This window comes from Homo sapiens, chromosome 19 (genome assembly GCF_000001405.40).
Source record: "Homo sapiens chromosome 19, GRCh38.p14 Primary Assembly".
Taxonomy (NCBI): Eukaryota; Metazoa; Chordata; class Mammalia; order Primates; family Hominidae; genus Homo; species Homo sapiens.
Genome location: NC_000019.10, coordinates 11,719,889 through 11,742,608, shown reverse-complemented (window position 1 = coordinate 11,742,608; position 22,720 = coordinate 11,719,889). Strand labels below are relative to the sequence as shown.

The following is a 22,720-nucleotide window of genomic DNA, read 5'->3' as shown; positions in this document are numbered from 1 at the left end:
GATGGGTTTTCTCCATGTTGGCCAGGCTGGTCTTGAACTCTCGACCTCAGGTGATCCACCTGCCTCAGCTTCCCAAAGTGTTGGGATTACAGGCGTGAGCCATTGTGCCCCGCCTTGTTTAGCAGTCTTTTAATGCCCAGAGATGTAGTAGAAGTCTCCTTAGTATGGGCTAGACAGTGAACAATAGCCATTTTAGTAGAGAGGTGAACAACCTGTAATAGTGCCCCAGTTATGTATGTTCATTGGCAATGGGTGTACCAGAACAAGTTGTAAATGCAAAGGATTTTCAGATTGTGCCAATGGCAAAAAAGACTCCCAAAGCATATCTGGAATCATTGTCAATGGTGGCAGTTTCCCCTTTGCCAACATTCGAGATCTAGTAAGAGCAATGAGCTAGAGGCTCAGGCTGATTTTACAGTGAGTAAAGAGTATGCCTCAATTGTTTCATGTGGAGAAATTATGGCAAAACCAGTTACTATGTTTTCCCTACAATTGTGTTAAGAGAGGCCTTCTCAAAATGATAGTAAGTCTAGGTCATCCAAGGAGGTGTCTAGGAGATCTTCCTGTGGCTTTAGGACCGTTTCTATCTGTGCATGACAGTCATGTGTCATGCTTGACTGTCAGGAATGGGGTGGGGCTCTCCATCATCAGGTAGGTAGTATAGTAGCCAGACTTACTGGGAAGATGTCAGAAATAATATGACAGAATTGAGAGTCCGGAAATAACCCCCTTTGCTATCATTTGAATGTTTGTGTCCCCTCAAAATTCATAGGTGAGAACTCAATCCCCAGCACCACAATTTTGGGAGTTGGGGACTTTTAGTCTTTTGGCAGAGCCCTCATGAATAGACTAATGCCACTATAAAGGGTTTGATGGATGGGGCTCGCCCTCTCTTGCCCTTCTGTCTTCTGCCCTGTGAGGATGCAGTGTTCCTTCCCTCCAGAAGATGCAGTAAGAAGGCCCTCCCTAGGTGCTGGCACCTTTATCTTGGAATTCCCAGCATCCAGAACTACGAGAAAACTAATTAATATTCTTTATAAATTGCCCACTTGGCAGTAGTTCATTATAGCAGCACAAATGGACTAAGACACTCTTCATGGATAGTTAATTAATCTTCAACAAATAGGCCAAGATAAATTAAAGGGGAAAGTCTTTTCAACAAGCTACTAAGGAAGTTGAATATTGACCTTCAGAAACACGAACTGAGCTCCTTACTGCATGCATTAAAGTTAACTCACACTGAAATGGTACATTTAGCAGCAGATATTAGAGGATATCTTCGTGACAGAGGGTTGGGGAAGGAGTTGTGTTTCCTTTTCTTTTAAAAAACTCAGAAATAGCCGGGTGCAGTGGCTCACAACTGTCATCCCAGCACTTTGGGTGGCCGAGGCAGGCAGATCACCTGAGGTCAGGAGTTTGAGACCAGCCTGACCAATATGGAGAAACCCTGTCTCTACTAAAAATATAAAATTAGCCAGATGTGGTGGCGCATGCCTGCAATCCCAGCTACTCAGGAGGCTGAGGTGGGAGAATTGCTTGAACCCGGAGGCAGAGGTTGCGGTGAGCCGAGATTGCACCATTGCACTTCAGTCTGGGCAACAGGAGCAAAACTCCATCTCAGAAAAAAAAAAAAGACAAACTCAGAAATAAACATCCTAACTCAGAAAAGCATGGTGTTGCCATAGAACTGACTGTGAGGAAACTAACAGCAATACTTTCTATATTGTGTTTAAACTTGCACATACAAATTTTGGGCTTTCTAGCTTCTCTTAGGATTTCTTTTATACTTTCTCTGGGGGAGGGGGTGTGGGTCTCACCATTGTTGATTTTTCCTTCATCATGGTAATGCGAACAGCTATTTTTGTCTGGAAGCTTTTATATGTATTTAAATCATTGCAGAAATCAACTACTTACTTGTTGCCATTTGTAAAAATATACAGAATCTGTATATAAACCCCTGACAATCAGTTAGTTTGATACATTGTGCCCTCTTTTAATATGTGTGGAAACAAATAAATAGAACATTGTTCCAGGAGCAGTTAATGTGAGGAGTGAGGGGTGGAGCATTTCATAAAATAGTAGTTTATCCTTCAGAGAGCAGTTTCTAGCATAATAGACTGTGGGAGTGTGTGTGTGTGTGTCTGTGTGTGTGCTTATTATTTTTTTTTAAGGAAACAGTATCATTTATGCATTAGGTTATACTCAGACGTCATTTTTTTCATTCATTTTCTAAACGTGCCCATTTGTCCTGGCAGAAAATGCTATAGTTTCTAGAAGTTGATTGAAGATTTCATTTCATCTATTGACATCTCATGTTCAGCTCCTTTCTATTTAGCCATGGCTACCAGCTTCTAGTTCATAACGCTTTTTTTTTTTTTTTTTTGAGATGGAGTTTTTTTTTTTCCTCGCTCTGTTGCCCAGGCTGGAGTGCAGTGGTGTGATGTCGGCTCACTGCAACCTCTGCCTGCCGGGTTCAAGCGATACTCCTGCCTCAGCTTCCTGAGGAGCCGGGATTACAGGAGCGTGCCACCACACCCGGCTAATTTTGCGTTTTTAGTAGAAACGGGGTTTCATCATGTTTGTCAGGCTGGTCTCAAACTCCCGACCTCAGGTGATCCACCCGCCTCAGCCTCCCAAAGTGCTGGGATTACAGGCGTGAGCCACCGCGCCCGGCCATAACGCTTTTAAGTCTAGTATTTTTACTTCATAAACATATGGAGAAAGGCTAATGTTTTCAAATTCAAAGTGTGATGTCTTGGCTTTTGATTGGAGCGTTTAATTCATTAACATTTAATGGCATAAGGAGGGAGCATTTCCACGCTGTGCAGAGGGGACAGGTATTTTGAGACCTCAGAGTAAAATTCTTAATTGTCCCTCCCTTATCACCAGCTTCTGATCCACCCCGGAGCTCCATTTTAGGAATCATTGCCTGGCTTCCCAGCTTGGGGATATGTTTGACCTCCTGAAAGGGGGTCTGCTTGTGAACTGTGAGTGCAGTAGGCTGCTTCTCTGAGCTTGTTCAAGTTTTTGCTTTTCTTCTCTTTTGATTCTTTATGAAATATTGCTGCCATATAATTCCAGTTTTTCCACATACTCAACTATTTTATTTTGTTGTCCTGTTTTTATCTTCTGGGCTGAAAATGAGTAGATTGAGAGATAAGGTGAGGGAAAGGCTTGGCAACGTCGCCAACAGCCTCATCCCAAATTCCTGATCCCTGGAGGACATCAGGCCCTCCCTCCTGCTGCAGGGTGGCCTGTGTGCCCCGGGCTCCCCTCCTGCTCCGAGGTCCGGGAATGGCTCCACTGGACAGGGAGCCTGGAATTCCCTGCACACACTTGTGAGTCCCTGTCCAGGAGGAAAAAGCAGGAAGAACCCACTGAATACAATCAGGAAATTCTAAAATGCAAACGTCACTTCGGGAGGGGTCAGGTCACTCCGTTGGGAGGAAGCCCGCCTTGCCAAGGGTCGTGCCTGGAACCTGTTCATCCGGCTCCACTCAGCACTGTGAGATCGCTTCTTCTGTCAATCAGCCACCAAGGGGCGGGACCTGGAGCACTATCCAATCAGGGATGAGGGGGCGGGGATTGTGAGAACTGTCAATCAGGCACGCTGCAGGGAGGAGGGTGCGACGTTCAAAGAGCCCGCGGAGTCTTCTCCACGCCCCTGCGCTCTGAGTCCTGGCTCTGGCGCTGAGAGAGAGACGCCCTGGAAGGTCTGTATCAGCGTCTGTCGCGCTGGGACCCACACTGGCTTTTAAGGAGGACACCCGGACACCTGGAAGCTGGGAAATGGTGAGTGTGCGGGGCCCGGCGTCCCGAGGCAAAGAAGGGGCAGGTTGGAACCGGCCGGAACCGACCGTGAGGGGACCCGGGCCTCGCCCTGGGCGACTCCGGGGTCTGCAAATCCCAGTGCCCCTGGCGCAGCTCTGCCCTTGGTCCCCTGGGCCGCAAGATGGGGCTGGGGCGGCAGCCGGGACCCCGGGCGTCCTGTCCCGTCCCTGCTCGGCCGCTGCGGCCCCGGCCCCGGCGCCCTCTCTGGGCAGCTCCGCGCCCGCAGCTCCGCGTCTCCCCAGATTGTGCAGTTGTAACCGGCACAGGTTCACGGCCCGAGTCACTGCACCGAGACGCCGAAGGCTGCAGCAGAAACAGTTTAATGGGGGAGAGGGGAGGACACCCCAGATCCGCCTCCCTGAGAGGTTTGGGGATGGGGTGTTTAGAGGTGTGGACAGGGACGGCTGGAGTGTGGGGTCGCTGGTTGGTGGAGAAGTGAGAGGTGACTCCTGGGACTGGAGGTGAAGAAACCGCATTCTGCTGAGTGGGTTCCCTTGTGGGGTCTTCAGCCTGGTTGGCGCCAGCCTTTCCGCTGCAATTCAGGATCCGAGAAAGAACTGAGGCGACCCGTGAGCAACTCTCAAGAGATCTTATCCCCGGGCACGATGAGGAAGCCGGCGGTCAGCGTCTGCTGTGACCTGACTCTCAGGGAGGCGGCCCCGTGAGGCAGCGGGGCTGAGGGCACCTGGTTAATATCTAACTGCAATCTCGCCTCCAGCCTGGCTCGCAGTTCCTGTGAACCCGGTGAGGACGCTGCACGGTGACAACGGAGGGTCACCAGGCAGAATCCAGACTCGTGTGTGTGGGCTTTGTGCTTTGGAAGAGAAGCTGTGATCTGTGGGTTCCCCAGTCCCTTCTTTCTTCCCAAAGGTGACCGGTTTCCCTCCGAGTCTTCCAAAGATGTGGGCAGCAGGGTCTCAAATCCACCACCCTATCCCCTCATCCTAACTCCTCCTAGGGCTGGCAGCAAATCTCTTGGTTTTCAGAGCCTTCCCCAGGCTAACTGTCTCTCATCAATTCCCAGCAACTTTATGAACTCTTTGTCCCTCAGGCAATATTTCAAACAGAGGCATTATTTTAATTGTCACTTTCTTTTCACATAGCAATGTATGGCTCTTTTTAAAAGATGTGTTTTTGTGTTTGTGAACATTTCACATGTGAGGAAGCAAAGAATAACCACTTGACTCCAGTGTGAAAAAAAAAAAAAAAAAAAAAAAGCCGGGCGCGGTGGCTCACGCCTGTAATCCCAGCACTTTGGGAGGCTAAGGCTGGCGGATCACCTGAGGTCGGGAGTTCGAGACCAGCCTGACCAACATGGAGGAACTCCGTCTCTACTAAAAATACAAAATTAGCCGGGGTGGTGGCTCATGCCTGTAATCCCAGCTACTTGGGAGGCTGAGGGAGGAGAATTGCTTGAACCCGGTAGGCGGAGGTTGCGGTGAGCCAAGATCACGCCATTGCACTCCAGCCTGGGCAACAAGAGTGAAACTCCGTCTCAGAAAAAAGAAAAAGAAAAAAAAAATAGTGCATGTGTGGCTGTCCTTTATCTTGTCTACACAGAGATACCCGAATATTTTCAGTCGAGGTTCCTCTTTGCAAATGGCACAGGGTGATCTGTCAGCCCACCCTCTATGGTGTCCTGGTCCTGGGTTACAGAACTGTTTGGGGCTGCTCCAAGATGCTCATAGCTGCTAAGTCTTTTGTAGTGTCTAGTGAATATCAGCTTTGAGTCACTCCTCCCAGAGGACAGCCAGAGGTGGGGGGTGGGACCTTATAGGGGAGCAGCTGGATGTCGTGGGGTGGGAGGAGTTTCCTGGTATACTGTTCCTCAAAAAGCAAAGCCCTTAAGACATTCAGCTTTTCTTCCCCACCCCAGTTTCCATTCCCTGGGGACACATGGCTGATGAGCCAGCTGGTTGGCGGTATTGAGGGAGCTTCTCCTTGGAGGGTAATTACTCAGCAGTTCAGTGAGCAGCACTGGGGTGGGAGATGTCCCAAGTGATAAGAGGACCTGAACTGACACTAAAGTAGTCAGATTTGTCTGTGTTCCAGTCAGCCCCTCCCTGCATTTGTCATCTTGAAAAGATTTGTTCACTCATTTCAGCTTTTTATTAACTGCAAAATGCATTTTATCATTAGAGCTTAATAAAGAAGATAAAGTATGTTCAAAGAGACAAGAACAAGTTGGGTTTCAGCAAACTCATTACATATTTAGTCCTATATTTTATTTCTTTTTAAAACTTTTATTTACTTTTTTTTGAGACGGAGTCTCGCTCTGTCACCCAGGCTGGAGTGCAGTGGTGGGATCTTGGCTCACTGCAGCCTCAACCTCCTGGGTTCAAGCAATCATCCCACCTCAGCCTCCTGAGTAGCTAGGATTACAGACGTATGCTACCATGCCCAGCTAAAACTTTTGTATTTTTAGTAGAGACGAGGTTTCACCATATTGGCCAGGCTGGTCTCGAACTCCTGACCTCAAGTGATCCACCTGCCTTGGCCTCCCAAACTGCTGGGATTATAGGAGAGAGCCACCGTGCCCAGCCTCAGGTCTGTTTTTTTATTGGATGATTTCAAACGGAATTTCAGGGCCTAGCAGTGAACAGAAATTGGGAAAAACTTTTCCTTTATGACTGCAGAAAAATGAATACATTTTTGCAAGAAAGTGTGGTGGATATATTGATGAATTATAAAGATTTACCAAAATGTTAGTTCGTCTCCTTTGTAGAGTGGAGAATTTGAGACAGTGGATAACTATTCTGTTCCTGTTATGTGGACTTGACAGACTAATGCTAAATTCTGTGGGACAGGACTTTCCAACAGCTAAAGAACTCAAATATCATTATTCATTTACTAAATGATTTATTATTATGGAAAATGATAAATTAATGACATTTGTTTTCTGAAACGGATAGATACTTGTGCTTTTTCTATTAAGCTATAAAATATAGATGCGTTGTGGTTTTCTTCCCTCCTATAAACATAAATGCTGGATTGGAGTGATTTTACTGGATTCATCACACATGGGTATTTTTTTTTTTAAATACCCATGTAAGGCATGTAAGGGTAAGTGAGTAGCCTTGACTGGGGTGGAGAAGCCTGAGGCGACTGACTCTGAGCTAAGGTCAATCTGGAGCCTGCAAAGGGAGGTCATTGAAGACCCAGTTGAGTTGGTTCTTCCTGGGGAACCTCCCTGGCAGGTGTCCCAACCTGTTCATTCCAAACATGGGAGGAGCCTTTTATACTGAGAGAAGCTGCAGAGCACTGGAAAGTTGGAGATCCACAGGCAGAGACATGTGGTGTGATGCCCTGTCTGAGGTCTTTGTTACTGTTGTGGCACTGTTGCTAGACATTCTCAAGTAAAATAAATCTGGATTTGGGCAAGAAGTGACTTCACTCTAAAAGCATATTGCAAAAGGAGAAAACTACCAACTATAAGATCTACAAGAATCTCAAAGTTTAGGCAGAAAATTGCTTTTCTTTTTTTTTTTTTTTTTTTGTTTTTTGAAATGGAGTCTCGCTCTGTTGCCCAGGCTGGAGTGCAGTGGCGTGATCTCAGCTCACTGCAATTTCTGCCTCCCAGGTTCAAGTGATTCTCCTGCCTCAGCCTCCTGAGTAGCTGGGATTACAGGTGACCACCACCACGCCCAGCTAATTTTTATATTTTTAGTAGAGACGGGGTTTCACCATGTTGGCCAGGCTGGTCTCGAACTCCTGACCTCAAGTGATCAGCCCACCTCGGCCTCCCAAAGTGGTGGGATTACAGGAATAAGCCACCATGCCCAGCCAGAAAATTGCTTTTCAAAGTGAAGAGCAAACAATATTAGAAATCTAGAAGGTAGGAGAGAGAGTAAGATGGAAGGTGAAAATCAGATCCTACATCACAGAATGTTTCACCTTGACTTCAGTCAGTTCTTAGGAGAGGTTAAAAAGGAGGGATTGTGGATGGGCGCATGGCTCACGCCTGTAATCCCAGCACTTTGGGAGGCTGAGGCAGGTGGATCACCTGAGGTCAAGAGTTCAAGACCAGCCTGACCAATATGGCAAAACCCCATCTCTACTAAAAAATACAAAAATTACCCAGGTGTGGTGGCACACGCCTATAGTCCCAGCTACTCAGGAGGCTGAGGCAGGAGAATCGCTTGAACCCGGGAGGTGGAGGTTGCAGTGAGCTGAGATCGTGCCACTGCACTCCAGCCTGGGTGACAGAGCAAGACTCCATCTCAAAATAAATAAATGAGAGGAATTGTGTGCTGGCTCAGACTGAGTCCAGCAGGAGGAAGAGAAACTTAAGGAAAGTTTGCTCTACATTAATTTTGTGCAGCCTGGTTGGTGAAGACAGAATTGTTCAGCTAATCATTTCTGAGGCAAAGTGGGAATTTGGTGGGGTTTTTGGTCTTGTTACAGGTTTAAAAAGGGGGCATAGTCGAAGCAATGCGGAGAGTGTTACACTGCATTCAGCTGTTTGTTCAGAACACACAGGACTTAGGTGGTAGAAGACTGAGGTGATTTCTTTTCTTTCTTTCTTTTTTTTTTTTTTGAGACAGAGTCTCACTCTGTTTCCCAGGCTGGAGTACAGTGGCATGATCTCAGCTCACTACAAAACTCCACCTCGCCTCCCAGCCTCAAGCGATCCTCCCACCTCAGCCTCCCCAGTAGCTGGGACTACAGGCATGCACCACTAGGCCCGGCTAATTTTTGTATTTTTCATAGAGATGAGGTTTCACCATGTTGCCCAGGCTGGTCTTGAACTCGTGGGCTCAAGTGATCCGGCTGCCTCGGCCTCCCTAAGTACTGAGATTACAGATGTGAGCCGCCTCACCTGGCCTAAGGTGATTTATTTAATTCTAGCTATTAACCAGGATTACAGAGCTGGGGTTAAATTCAACATTATTAGAAGTCTGGTTTTACATTCACTGTGTTTGTTTAATCAGAATATTGTACAAATTTGAAAGTCTGTTGGGGCTGACTTAGAGAAAGACACCTTTTGGTTCTGCCTGCTGGACAAAGGGTTTATGAATCTGAGAGTTTATTTGGGTCTGTGATATAATTTTTAAAAATATTTGGTCCTTTTTAATTTTTGAAACAGAGTCTTGTTCTGCCATCTAGGCTGAAGTGCAGTGGCATGATCTCGGCTCACTGCAACCTCCATCTCCTGGGCTCAAACAATCTTTTTGCCTCAGCCCCCCAAGTAGCTGGAACTTCAAGCGTGCACCACCACGCCCAGCCAATTTTTGTATTTTTTGTAAAGACAGTTTCGCCATGTTGCCCAGGCTGATCTTGAACTCCTGACCTCAGATGATTCTCCTACCTCGGCCTCCCAAAGTGCTGAGAATACAAGCGTGAGTCACCATGCCCAGCCTAAAACATATTTGGTCATTGTTTCTTTTTCTTTTTCTTTTTTTTTTTTTTTTTGAGATGGAGTCTCACTCTGTCGCTAGGCTGGAGTGCAGTGGCGAAATCTCAGCTCGCTGCAACCTCCGACTCCTGAGTTCTAGCTATTCTCCTGCCTCAGTCTCCTGAGTAGCTGGGACTACAGGCGCGTGCCACCACGCCCAACTAATTTTTGTATTTTTATTAGAGACGGGGTTTCACCATGTTGGCCAGCATGGTCTTGATCTCTTGACCTCATGATCTGCCCACCTCAGCCTCCCAAAGTGCTGGGATTACAGGCGTGAGCGGCTGCACCCGCCTTGGTCATTATTTCTAGGTCCTGGCAAAGTAGTCCTAAACTCCTTGGATTTTTCCGAGTGATGGGAATGTGTTTTGTTATTCCCAGCTCTTGTCAGACCTTAGGTGAAGTTATGCTAATGAGGTGACTCAGCATGAGGTCACTAGGTAACTAACTTGAGGATGGGGACTGGTGACCTGAAAGAGCAAACACATGATGACAGGACTGGAACTTTAAGCCCCATCTTCTGACCCCAGGAAAGGGAGGGAGGCTAGAAATTAAGTTGAATAAAATTTATTGAACAAAGACATCGGGACAGCTTCCAGGTTGGTGAACACGTGGATGCGCTAGGAAGGTGGTGTCAAGAGGGAAAGCTTTGCCGGGCGCGGTGGCTCCCGCCTGTAATCCCAGCACATTGGGAGGCCGAGGTGGGCAGATCACGAAGTCAGGAGATCGAGACCATCCTGGCTAACACCGTGAAACCCCGTCTCTACTAAAAATACAAAAAAATGGCCGGGCGCGGTGGCTCACGCCTGTAATCCCGGCACTTTGGGAGGCTGAGGCGGGCCGATCACGAGGTCTGGAGATCGAGACCATCCTGGCTAACACGGTGAAACCCCGTTTCTACTAAAAATACAAAAAAATGGCCGGGCGCGGTGGCTCATGCCTGTAATCCCGGCACTTTGGGAGGCTGAGGCGGGCGGATCATGAGGTCTGGAGATCGAGACCATCCTGGCTAACACGGTGAAACCCCGTTTCTACTAAAAATACAAAAAAATTAGCTGGGCGTGGTGGCAGTTGCCTGTAGTCCCGGCTGCTCGGGAGGCTGAGGCAGGAGAATGGCGTGAGCCCGGGAGGCGGAGCTTGCAGTGAGCCGAGATCATACCACTGCACTCCAGCCTGGGCGACAGAGCGAGACTCCATCTCAAAAAAAAAAAAAGGGAAACCTTTAACCATCCCTGCCCTTTCCCTTGCTGAATACCTCTTTTCCATTTGGCTGTTGTTGAGAAATCCTTTATAACAAACTAGTAACCTTAAGTTACTAGTGTTTTGCTGAGTTTCATGAGTTATTTTAGCCAATTTTTTTTTTTTTTTTTTTTGAGACGGAGTTTCACTCTTGTTACCCAAGCTGGAGTGCAATGGCACGATCTCGGCTCATCGCAACCTCTGCCTCACGGGTTCAAACGATTCTCCTGTCTCAGCCTCCCGAGTAGCTGGGACTACAGGCATGCGCCACCATGCATGGCTAATTTTGCATTTTTAGTAGAGGTGGGGTTTCTCCATGTTGGCCAGGCAGGTCTCGAACTCCTGACCTCAGGTGATCCACCTGCCTCAGCCTCTCAAAATGCTGGGATTACAGGCGTGAGCCACTGCGCCTGGCCTTTAGCCAGTTATTGAACCAGAGGATGGTGCTGTTGTATTTATACACAGTTGGTTAAAAGGTTAGTTCCTGGGGCTTACAAATGACATCTGCAGTGGGGGCCTGTTGTGGGACTGAGCCCTCTAGCAAGAAACTTATGGGATCTGTGTTAATTCTGGGTGGTATAAGAATTGAACTACTGGACACCCAGTTATTGCTGGAGAATTGGTTGGTGTTCAGCGAACGGCACACCTTTGTTATCAGAAGTCAGAGGCACCACAGGTCAGAGCCTTAAACCGACTGACTGTTATTCAGTATATGTTTATCATGTATGAATCCAGATGCATAGTTTTCTCTCTTCTGAGTTTTCAGTTAATTAATATTACACTTAATATTCCATTAATATGATGCTGAAAAGGTTTTTTTGTTTTTTTGAGATGGAGTTTTGCTCTTGTTATTGCCCAGGCTGGAGTGCAATGGCGTGATCTCGGCTCACCGCAACCTCTGCCTCCCGGGTTCAAGCGATTCTCCTGCCTCAGCCTCCCGAGAAGCTGCGATTACAGGCATGCACCACCACGCCTGGCTAATTTTGTATTTTTAGTAGAGACAGGGTTTCTCCATATTTATCAGGCTGGTCTCGAACTCCCGACCTCAGGTGATCCACCCGCCTCAGCCTCCCAAAGTGCTGGGATTACAGGCGTGAGCCACCTCACCCGGCTGCGGGCGGTTTTTTTTTTTTTTTTTTTTTAGTTTCTTTGCCTCAGTCTGTTTGATTCATGCTGCTGTCTGAGGTGTGGGTCACCCACTTCACTCTCATATTCCACGGCTCATAGGACTTGAATTGTTTCATTTTTGCTGGACTTTGTTGACAATGTCATCTTTGTTTTTGTCCCCAAATGCTAACACTTTATACATTTTGTACATATAGGGGGAAATGTGCTGGGTTGTGGATTATGGATAAATTTAAATGTGCTAGGAAAACCCGTTGGCATGTATGGATTAACTGGCAGACCATGTGTGCATGTGTGTTTATTCCTTATAAATATTTATCTCCATGTGATTAGATGTTGCTTTTTACTGATTAACATCGGTGTTGAGCATTTTTTCTGTATGGCCTTTCATCTACTGTGAAATAATTTTCAGCCATTTTCTCATTAATTAATTAATTAATTTTTAAGTCAGGGTCTTGCACTATCACCCAGGTTGGAGTGCAGTTCTGGGATCATGGCTCACCACAGCCTCAGATTCCTGGGCTCAAACAATCCTCCTGCCTTCGTCTCCTATGTAGCTGGAACTACAGGCACATGCTACCATCCCTGGCTAATTTTTAAATTTTTTGTAGAGATGAGGTTTTGCCATGTTGCTTAGGCTGTTCTCAAACTCAAGCAGTCCTCCCACTCCAACCTCCCAGAGTATTGGGATGACAGGCATAAGTCACGCACAACTCTTCTTCTTAATTTTCAGAGTTGAATTTCTGAGTCCCTTCCTTTGGGATCTACTTTATTTTCTTACATAAGAAAACGGCCAGGCACGGTGGCTCACACTTGTAATCCCAGCACGTTGGGAGGCCGAGGCAGGCGGATCATCTGAGGTCGGGAGTTTGAGACCACCCTGACCAACATGGTGAAACCCTGTCTCTACTAAAAATACAAAATTAGCTGGGCATGATGGCACAGGCCTGTAATCCCAGCTACTTGGGAGGCCAAGGCAGAAGAATCACTTGAACCCAGGCGACAGAGGTTGCAGTGAGCCAAGATCATGCCATTGCACTCCAGCCTGGGCAACAAGTGCGAAACTCCGTCTCAAAGGAAAAAAAAAAAAAAAGATTCTTTACTCAGGGACAAGATATAAGCCCTGGATCATAAGACCTCCCCAAACAGGTTAATTTGAAAGCCTTCCAAACGTAACTTGTAGGATAGTACAAGGTGACCTAATGCCTAAATATCAGACCAGTGACCAAGTTTCCGTCTTAGAGGAAACTTGTTTTTCCTGGTAGACACCTTATGGCCCATTGTCTGACCAGTTTTTCTTTTATTACTACCAAGATAGCCACTGCCAAAATAATCTTACAAAGAAAGCCCTGACTGGGTAGAAATTAGATTCAGGTATATTGGTCAGGTAAGACACAGAGGAAGCAACTCAACAAAATGCAAGAAATAACAGAAACTATGTATTATTTAGAGATCCCAGAAAGAAGAGGTTAGCACACATTGAAAGCCAGTAGGTACTGGGAAGCCATCTAGTACATGTGTATTTTGCTATGTGGTTTTATAAGTTTTGCCTTATGTATTTTGATGATTTGTTTTATGAGCATAGATATTAATGATTATTATGTCTTCTTGTATAACTGACTTCTTTATCTTTATGAAATCTCTTCATCCCCTGTATCTTTCCTTGACCTAAAACCTGATTTATCTAAATTTAAAATAGCTAGTCCATATTTCTTTTGATTAGGGCTAGAATGGCATATATTCCTCCATACCTTTATATTTAATGTATTTGCATCTTTCAGTTTAAAATGGTTTTCATGTACACATTGCTGGGCCTTGTTTTATTTGTTGTTTTTTTTTTTTTTGAGACAGAGTCTTGCTCTGTTGCCCAGGCTGAAATGAGGTGGCACAATCTCGGCTCACTGCAGCCTCCGCCTCCCGGGTTCAAGTGATTCTCATGCCTCAGCCTCCCAAGTAGCTGAGATTACAGGCATGCACTGCCACGCCTGGCTAATTTTTTTGTATTTTTAGTAGAGACGGGGTTTCATCATGTTGGACAGGCTGGTCTCAAACTCCTGGCCTCAAGCAATGTGCCCGCCTCAGCATTCCAAAATGCTGGGATTACAGGCGTGAGCCACTGTGCCCTTCCAGCCTTGTTTTTTTAATTCTATTCAGCCAGTCCATGTCTTTTTAACTGGTATATGTAGATATACACATTCAAAGTGGTATTGACATAATTGGATTAATATGTACATATGTCAATTGTTTTCTATTCTTATACTTGACTGTTTTTTCAACTTCTCCACTTTTTCTGCTTTCATTTTAACTGAGCATTCTATATGATTCTATTTGCTTGCTTCTATTAGTATAGTAAGTCTACTTGTTTCTTAAATTTTATTAGTGAATTCCCTATAGTTTGTAGTATACCATTTATAACTAATGGACCTTCAGTTTCAAATAATGCTATACTGGCTTTGGGAGTAGTGCTGGTATTACTTACTGTTCCAAATTCCATCCTCCCATCCCATATAACACACTGTTATTCATTTGCCCTATCGGAAGCTGTTACTACCCAATACATTGCTAGTATTATTTCAAACAAATTTGTATCTGTTAGATCAGGTAGTATAAGAAAAGTATGCCATAATATACCTGTGTGCTTTTCAGTACCCTAATTTCTGAAGGAAATTTTATCTCCAGCTTTTCTTCCCAAGACTTAGTAGGTCTGCTGTTCGTCTTAACCGTAATCTGTTGTTCCAGGTGGTTGAAGGCTTTCTGTGTATTTTGCAACATTTTGAAGCAGTTCTTGCCATGTTTGACCCTGATTGGGTTCCATCACTGATTAAATGGAAAAGAGAGTCTTGGCCGGGCGCTGTGGCTCACGCCTGTAACCCCAGCACTTTGGGAGGCCGAGGCGGGCGGATTACGAGGTCAGGAGATCGAGACCATCCTGGCTAACACGGTGAAACCCCGTCTCTACTAAAAATACAAAAAAATTAGCTAATCGTGGTGGCATGTGCCTGTAGTCCCAACTACTTGGGAGGCTGAGGCAGGAGAATGGCGTGAACCCAGGAGGCGGAGCTTGCAGCGAGACACTGAACTCCAGCCTGGGCTACAGAGCGAGACTCCCGTCTCAAAAAAAAAAAAGAAAGAAAGAAAAGAGAGCCTGTTTCAGACCTTTGGATAGTCCTTGTACCAACTGGAAAATACAAAGGCAATAATTTGCAAGTAAGACCTGATCTGCTGTCTCTAGGGATCCACATTGAAAACTTGGTCTGCTGTCTTCAAGACGGGCTCTGATGTGAGGAGGGATTGGGACAAGGGCAAATAAAAACTCCACAAAGCTTTTCAACCATTTTTTGCTTTCCTTTTTCTGTTTGTTTATCTCCCTGTTAATAGTATAGGATGCCGAATATTATAGTTTAAAAATCCTTTATCTGTTTTTGGAAAGCTGTAACTTTCTTGGTTAGAAGGTTTTTTTGGGCGGTTTCTTTTTTTGTTGTTATTGTTTTTTGTTTGTTTGTTTGTTTTGAGATGGAGTCTCACTCTGTCTCCAGGCTGGAGTGCAGTGGCATGATCTTGGCTCATTGCAGTATCCGCCTCCCAGGTTCAAGCGATTCTCCTGCCTCAGCCTCCTGAGTAGCTGGGATGACAGGTGCGCCACCACACCCAGCTAATTTTTTTTGTATTTTTAGTAGAGACGGGGTTTCACCATGTTGGCCAGGATGGTCTCGATCTCCTGACCTTTTGATCCGCCCCCCTAGGCCTCCCGAAGTGCTGGGATTACAGTCGTGAGCCACCACACCCTGCCGGTTAGGTTTTTAACCTTTTCAGATATTTGTGACTTTTATTAGATTTGGTAATATAATCTTTGTTGACTGCTAAAAGTCTCTTTAGGAATTTAGGAAATATTATAGATAATCATGAGAGGTGACACTGAGTTTTTTGTTAGAACATGTGCAATCTTTCCCTGTCTTTCCTCCTCCTTTGTCATTATCCAATGAAAAATGTGTAATTTTTCCATTGAGATAGTGAGATATTTTTTATTAGTCTTTTGTCACGCTTAACTACATTTGGTCTAATGGAAACCAGTTGCCAGTTTCCAAATGTTCTCTCTTAGTGTAATTGCATAGGATGGGCTAAATATCCCATGTAACAAGTTGCAACCAAACACGTGAAACGTTAGCTACTAGGGTCCGTCAGTAGTGATCCAGTGTCCAGAGTGTTTCTTCATAACTGTCTTAGTCTGGTTTTTGTTACTTATAACAGGATTACCTGAGCCTGGGTAATTTATAAAAACAAACAAACATTATTTTTTTATACTTCTGGAGACTGAGAAGCCCAAGGTCAAGGCTTAGCATCTGGTAAGAGCCTCCTTGCTGGTGGGGACTCTGCAGAGTCCCTAGGTGGCACAGGGTATCGCATGGCCAGGGGCCCAGTGTTAATTCAGGTCTCTTCCTCGTCTCTTAAGGACACTAGGCCTACTCCTGAGATACCCCATTTATTCATTAAGCCATTAATCTATGAATGGATTAGTACCTCAAGATCCAATCAAGTCTTAAAGCCCCACATTTCATTATTGTCATATTGAGGATGAAGTTTCAGCATGAGTTTTGGAGAGCACAAGCATTCTAACTTGTGCTGTGGCTAACAGGTATTCTCTCTCTGCTGATCATGTAACAAACTTCCAAACTCTCAGAGGGGGAATAGGAGTTAAGTTAAAAAAAAATTTATATATATATATATATATATGTATTTTTTATTTTTTGTTTTTTACTTTTATTATATTTTTTGAGACAGGATCTCATTCTGTTGCTTAGGCTGGAGGGAGTACAGCGGCATGATCACGGCTCACTGCAGCCCCAACCTCCTGCGCTTGGGTGATCCTCTCACCTCAGCATCCTGGGTAGCTGGGACTACAGGCATGCGCCACCACATCTTGCTATTTTTTTTTTTTTTTTTTTTTGTATTTTTTATAGAGACAAGGTCTCACCATGTTTCCCAGGCTGGTCTCAAACTCCTGGGCTTAAGTGATCCACCTGTCTTGGCCTTCCAAAGTGCTGGGATTATAGGCATGAGCCACTGAGTCAGACCTAGTTTTATTTTTTGTTGAGAAAAGGGCTCACTATGTTGCCCATGCTGGTCCTAAACTCCTGTTCTTAAGTGATCCTTCCACTTTGGCCCTGCAAAGTGATGGGATTGCAGGCCTAAGTCACCATGCCTGGCCCCTATATTTTGCATAAACAGTTTAGGCACACTCAGCCTCTGTTATTAGTTACATTAGTGGGATCCGGTGCCTAGACACCATGAAAGATCCAAGTTTGCAAATGAGCATTTGTCAGGATATGCAGTTTCAGGACTGGGAGTGGTAACTCTTCTACACAATAGGTAGTTGTACTTTGTCATGATAAGAACTACACAGACCGCTGTAGAAATAGACATCAGGGGTGACGCAGGCAATAAGACTCACTCACTTAACTCACCAACAAGAGGCAGGTTCCTATTCGACTGTTACTTTACCAAACACATTCAACTAAAGCATCACAATGGCTTTGTGGGAAAAAGTGAGTGTAGACAAAATAAGAGTGGGTTTACTATGTCATCGAATAAATGCTTGGAAACCACAGCATCATGCAAAGTTTATGCAGTGAGTATGGATTCTCAGTGCTGTCCATCTCAACCTTCCTCCTCTGCACATGTGGGATGTTTCAGGACTCAGTGGCCTTTGAAGATGTGGCTGTGAACTTCACACAAGAGGAGTGGGCTTTGCTGGGTCCATCACAGAAGAGTCTCTACAGAAATGTCATGCAGGAAACCATTAGGAACCTGGACTGTATAGGTAAGGATGACATCATCTCTTCACTTAGTCAATTAGAGACATTTGTTTCCTGGCCATCAACGCTGTTCATGATTTGAAATATGGAAAGAGGATATGGTTGACCCTTGAACAACACAGGGTTTAGAGGTGTCAGCCCCTCAAACAGTCTTACATCCTCTAATAACTTTTTTTGTCCCCCGCAACTTAACCACTAATAACCTATTGTTGACTGGCCCACTTATGGATAACATAAACATTAGATTAATCCATATATTGTATGTCATATGTATTACATACTGTACTGTCACAGTAAAGTGGGCTTGGGAAGGAAAATGTTGATGAGAATCATAAGAAGAGAAACTGGCCGGGTGCGGTGACTCACACCTGTAATCCCAGCACTTTGGGAGGCCGAGGCGGGAAGATCATGAGGTCAGGAGATCGAGACCATCCTGGCTAACATGGTGAAACCCCGTCTCTACTAAAAACACAAAAAAAATTAGCCGGGCGTGATGGCGGACACCTGTAGCCCCAGCTACTCGGGAGGCTGAGGCAGGAGAATGACGTGAACCTGGGAGGCAGAGTTTGCAGTGAGCTGAGATCGCGCCACTGCACTCCAGCCTGGGCGACAGAGCGGGACTCTGTCTCAAAAAAAAAAAAAAAAAAAAAGATGAGAAACTATATTTACTATTCATTAAGTGGAAGTAGATCTTCATAAAGGTTTTCACCCTTGTTGTCTTCACACTGAGTGGGCTGAGGAAGGGGAGGGGTTGGTCTTGCTGTCCCAGGGGTAGCAGAGACTGAAGAACATTCATGTATGAGTGGAGCTGTGCAGTTCAAACCTGTGTTGTTGAAGAGTCACATGTACTTTGGTGAATGAATCATGCATGATTGCAGTACGCGTAAAATCTTAGAGTTTTTCTATAATTTTGTAAACATTTTTAGTGATTTTCCTGGGTCTACCTTTTAGAAATGAAATGGGAGGACCAGAACATTGGAGATCAGTGCCAAAATGCCAAGAGAAATCTAAGGTAATTTGCACCCACAAAAGAAAGCTATGTCCCTGCAGTGGTTCATAGAATGATAAGAAAATTTTAAAAACGAGCAGAGAAAATGAACAAGCCCAGCTTAAATTTATTCATTCCAATAATTCTTTTTCTGACCAAGCACAGTGACTCGCACATGTAATCCCAGCACTTTGGGAGGCCAAGGTGGGAGGATTACTTGAGCCTAGGAGTTTGAGATCAGCCTGGGCAACATAGTGAGATCCCCATCTCTATAAAAAAAAATTTTCCCGAGGAACATATAGTTAAATGTGACATAGCTATTCAGTCTTTGCAAAATAGTTCCCTTGGAAATGGTATTAAGAATCTCCATGTGGGCCAGGAGCGGTGGCTCACGCCTGTAATCCCAGCACTTTAGGAGGCCAAGGCGGGTGGATCACCTGAGGTCGGGAGTTCAAGACCAGCCTGGCCAACATGGAGAAACCCTGTCTCTACTAAAAATACAAAATTAGCAGGGCGTGGTGGCGCATGCCTGTAATCCCAGCTACTTGGGAGGCTGAGGCAGAAGAATTGCTTGAATCCGAGAGGCAGAGGTTGCAGTGAGCCGAGACTGTGCCATTGCACTCCAACCTGGGCAACAAGAGTGAAGCTCCGTCTCAAAAAAAAGAAAGAAAGAAAGAAAGAATCTCCATGTGAATATCACTGTTTTGCTAATAGCTGTGATGGGACCATCTTACACAGCACTGTCACTTCACATTCAAACAGGGGATGAAGCCTGTACTTTGCATGATAATGTTACAAATATAAATCTAGTACTTCAATATATAGAAAATCACTTATAAACAAACCTTTAGTAATATATTTCTTATTTGTTACAGAAGTCATACATGTGAAATTAAAGATGACAGTCAATGTGGAGAAACTTTTGGCCAGATTCCAGATAGTATTGTGAACAAGAACACTCCTCGAGTAAATCCATGTGACAGTGGTGAGTGTGGAGAAGTCGTCTTGGGTCATTCGTCTCTTAATTGCAACATCAGAGTTGACACTGGACACAAATCATGTGAGCATCAGGAATATGGAGAGAAGCCATATACACATAAACAACGTGGGAAAGCCATCAGTCATCAGCACTCCTTCCAGACACATGAAAGGCCCCCCACCGGAAAGAAACCCTTCGATTGTAAAGAATGTGCAAAAACCTTTAGTTCTCTTGGAAACCTCCGAAGACACATGGCGGCACACCATGGAGATGGACCTTATAAATGTAAGTTGTGTGGGAAAGCCTTTGTTTGGCCCAGTTTATTTCATTTGCACGAAAGAACACACACTGGAGAGAAACCGTATGAATGTAAGCAGTGTTCTAAAGCCTTTCCTTTTTACAGTTCCTATCTAAGACATGAAAGAATCCACACGGGAGAGAAAGCGTATGAATGTAAGCAGTGTTCCAAAGCCTTTCCTGATTACAGTACCTATCTAAGACATGAGAGAACTCACACCGGAGAGAAACCCTATAAATGTACACAATGTGGGAAAGCCTTCAGCTGTTACTATTACACTCGACTACATGAAAGGACTCACACGGGAGAACAACCCTATGCATGTAAGCAATGTGGGAAAACGTTTTATCATCACACAAGCTTTCGAAGACACATGATAAGGCACACTGGAGACGGACCACATAAATGTAAGATATGTGGGAAAGGCTTTGATTGTCCTAGTTCAGTTCGAAATCATGAAACTACTCACACTGGAGAGAAACCCTATGAATGTAAGCAGTGTGGGAAAGTGTTATCTCATAGCTCGAGCTTTCGAAGTCACATGATAACACACACAGGAGATGGACCCCAGAAATGCAAGATATGTGGGAAAGCCTTTGGTTGTCCCAGTTTATTTCAAAGACATGAAAGGACTCACACTGGAGAGAAACCCTATCAATGTAAACAATGTGGTAAAGCCTTCAGTCTTGCCGGTTCCCTTCGAAGACATGAAGCAACTCACACTGGAGTGAAACCCTATAAATGTCAGTGTGGGAAAGCCTTTAGTGATCTCTCTTCCTTTCAAAATCATGAGACAACTCACACTGGAGAGAAGCCATATGAGTGTAAGGAATGTGGGAAAGCATTCAGTTGTTTCAAATACCTTTCTCAACATAAAAGGACCCACACAGTAGAAAAACCTTATGAGTGTAAAACATGTAGAAAAGCCTTCAGTCATTTCAGTAACTTAAAAGTCCATGAAAGGATTCACTCTGGAGAGAAGCCATATGAATGTAAGGAATGTGGAAAAGCATTCTCTTGGCTCACTTGCCTTCTACGACATGAAAGAATTCACACTGGAGAGAAACCCTATGAATGTCTACAATGTGGTAAAGCCTTCACTCGTTCCCGTTTCCTTCGAGGACATGAAAAAACTCACACTGGAGAGAAGCTGTATGAATGTAAGGAATGTGGGAAAGCATTGAGTTCTCTCCGTTCCTTGCATAGACATAAAAGGACTCACTGGAAAGATACTCTCTAAATGTATGGAATGTGGGAAAACATTCAGTACTTTAATTTCAGAAACTTGAAAGAACTCACTTTGGAGATAGACCCTATGAATGTAAACATGGGATAAAGCCTTAAGTAGTTTCAATTTTTTTAAATACAGTTATCCCCCAATATATTGCAGGGGATTGGTTCCAGCACCCTCTAAATCCACAGATGCCAAGTCCTTTGTTATATGGCATATTTGCATGTAACCTATGCATATCTTCCAGTATACTGTGTAAATCATCTCTAGATGACTTTTAATACCTCATGCATTGTAAAAGCTATGTAAATAGTTGTTTGATTGTATTGTTTAGAGAATCATGACAAGAAAAATAGTCTCTACATGTTCGATGCAGACACAACCATTGCAGGCCCACCTACGTGGTATATGTCACCCAGAACATTAAAATTTGTTTTAACATTCACAGATTGCTTTTGTTTTGTGACCTGAATGAGCATGTCAACACTTATCAAAATCCTGCTTCTCTCTTGATAACCCAAGTATAATGATGATGATGATGATTGCTGGATGGTGCCTAACATTGTCATGTGTTGTAGCATTATAGACAAGCAGGAGACATCAGGCTAACTTGAACCTTGACAGAATATCAGGATGATCATCAGTGTTCAAAGAACTAGGTTCTGATGCAGATGTTGACTTGTTGGAGGAGGCCAAATAATACTAATGTCAAGATCTGTTCAGCTTCAGGGCTGCAGATCCTTAACCATGGAAGGCTCTGTGTTTATATTTGCAGGTGCTTAGTGAGAAGTGTAGGAAGCTAGTTTTTCTTTTTTTCTTTTTTTTTGAGTCATCAAAAAAATCTTGCACTGTTTGTTGGCATGTTATTCCATGGGTGACATGGAGGCTTTGTTCCATCGAAGGATCTTACTTGAGGATGATGAACTTTCTTAACAGTTTTGCCTATTGAAAAACTGCTGCAGGTCAGGCGAGGTGGCTCACACCTATATTCCCAGCACTTTGGGAGGCTGAGACAGGTGGATCACGAGGTCAGGAGATTGAGACCATCCTGGCTAACACAGTGAAACCCTGTCTCTACTAAAAATACAAAAAAATAGCTGGGCATGGTGGCAGGCGCCTGTAGTCCCAGCTACTCAGGAGGCTGAGGCAGGAGAATGGTGTGAACCCAGGAGGCGGAGCTTGCAGTGAGCCGAGATGGCGCCACTGCACTCCAACCTGGGAGACAGAGCGAGACTCCGTCTCAAAAAAAATAAAAAAAACTACTGCAAATTTTTCAAGTGTCCAAATCTGTGGCACTACCTTTTTTAAGTCATCATTATCATCATCAATCTATAGAGCATTTGAGCAGATCTTTGAGTTCCTTGTTGTAAGAATTTATGCCCTTCTGTGTGTTACTCAACATCGTCTTCAATCCTGTCAGAGATAGCCTTTCTTACCAACTCCCCTTGCAGTATTTAAGATATTCCTAACTACTGCATCAATAGTGGGGAAGCCCCTAAAATTATTGACTCCCTCACTCCATAATGGCTTCCAGCATGCTTTGAGTTTCTTGAGCTCTGGGACATCTATAGCCTCTGCAATAAGGACAGTTGCATGTGCAATTGTGAAGTGCTTTCATAAATCCACTATGGTACAGTCAGAGTTAGCATCAGGATGGCATGAATCCTCCCGAAGGTCAGGATCTACTTGATTATGCCTTGATTGAGTAGCTTTCACTGTGATGTAGTGTTAGGCAGCAGGGACATCACTTCCACATTCTTTGTGGCAAAGTAGAGAGATTGGAGATGGCCAGGAACATTGTCAATTATGAGAAGGACCTTG

General features: G+C 44.7%; 1 protein-coding gene across 6 annotated transcripts, besides 4 other annotated features; it reads left to right on the top strand.

Moving 5' to 3' along the window:
* Nucleotides 3,485-3,679: a silencer, noted in NCBI's record as "fragment chr19:11849745-11849939 (GRCh37/hg19 assembly coordinates)". NCBI's record gives its function as "represses an EF-1alpha promoter that drives an FKBP-Casp9 reporter gene in an ReSE screen in K562 erythroleukemia cells {active_cell/tissue: K562}" and the evidence as "EXISTENCE:reporter gene assay evidence [ECO:0000049][PMID:32094911]".
* ZNF823 (zinc finger protein 823) lies at nt 3,663-21,344 on the top strand. Of its 6 annotated transcripts, XM_024451586.2 has the most exons (5): nt 3,663-3,792; nt 4,341-4,575; nt 17,282-17,408; nt 18,355-18,415; nt 19,267-21,344. In XM_024451586.2, exons 3-5 carry the CDS (start codon nt 17,375-17,377, stop codon nt 20,906-20,908), a joined length of 1,737 nt encoding a protein of 578 aa, XP_024307354.1. In that variant the 5' UTR covers nt 3,663-3,792; nt 4,341-4,575; nt 17,282-17,374; the 3' UTR covers nt 20,909-21,344. The 6 variants fall into 6 exon arrangements, with proteins under 6 accessions (XP_024307354.1, NP_001073962.1, XP_016882430.1 ...); NM_001080493.4 differs by lacking the exon at nt 4,341-4,575; XM_017026941.2 differs by lacking the exon at nt 18,355-18,415.
* Nucleotides 3,690-3,769: an enhancer, noted in NCBI's record as "active region_14032". NCBI's record gives its function as "activates an Ori minimal core promoter by ATAC-STARR-seq in GM12878 lymphoblastoid cells {active_cell/tissue: GM12878}" and the evidence as "EXISTENCE:reporter gene assay evidence [ECO:0000049][PMID:35858748]".
* Nucleotides 3,940-4,089: a silencer, noted in NCBI's record as "silent region_10128". NCBI's record gives its function as "represses an Ori minimal core promoter by ATAC-STARR-seq in GM12878 lymphoblastoid cells {active_cell/tissue: GM12878}" and the evidence as "EXISTENCE:reporter gene assay evidence [ECO:0000049][PMID:35858748]".
* Nucleotides 4,160-4,289: an enhancer, noted in NCBI's record as "active region_14031". NCBI's record gives its function as "activates an Ori minimal core promoter by ATAC-STARR-seq in GM12878 lymphoblastoid cells {active_cell/tissue: GM12878}" and the evidence as "EXISTENCE:reporter gene assay evidence [ECO:0000049][PMID:35858748]".
* Nucleotides 21,345-22,720: the final 1,376 nt, after the last annotated feature.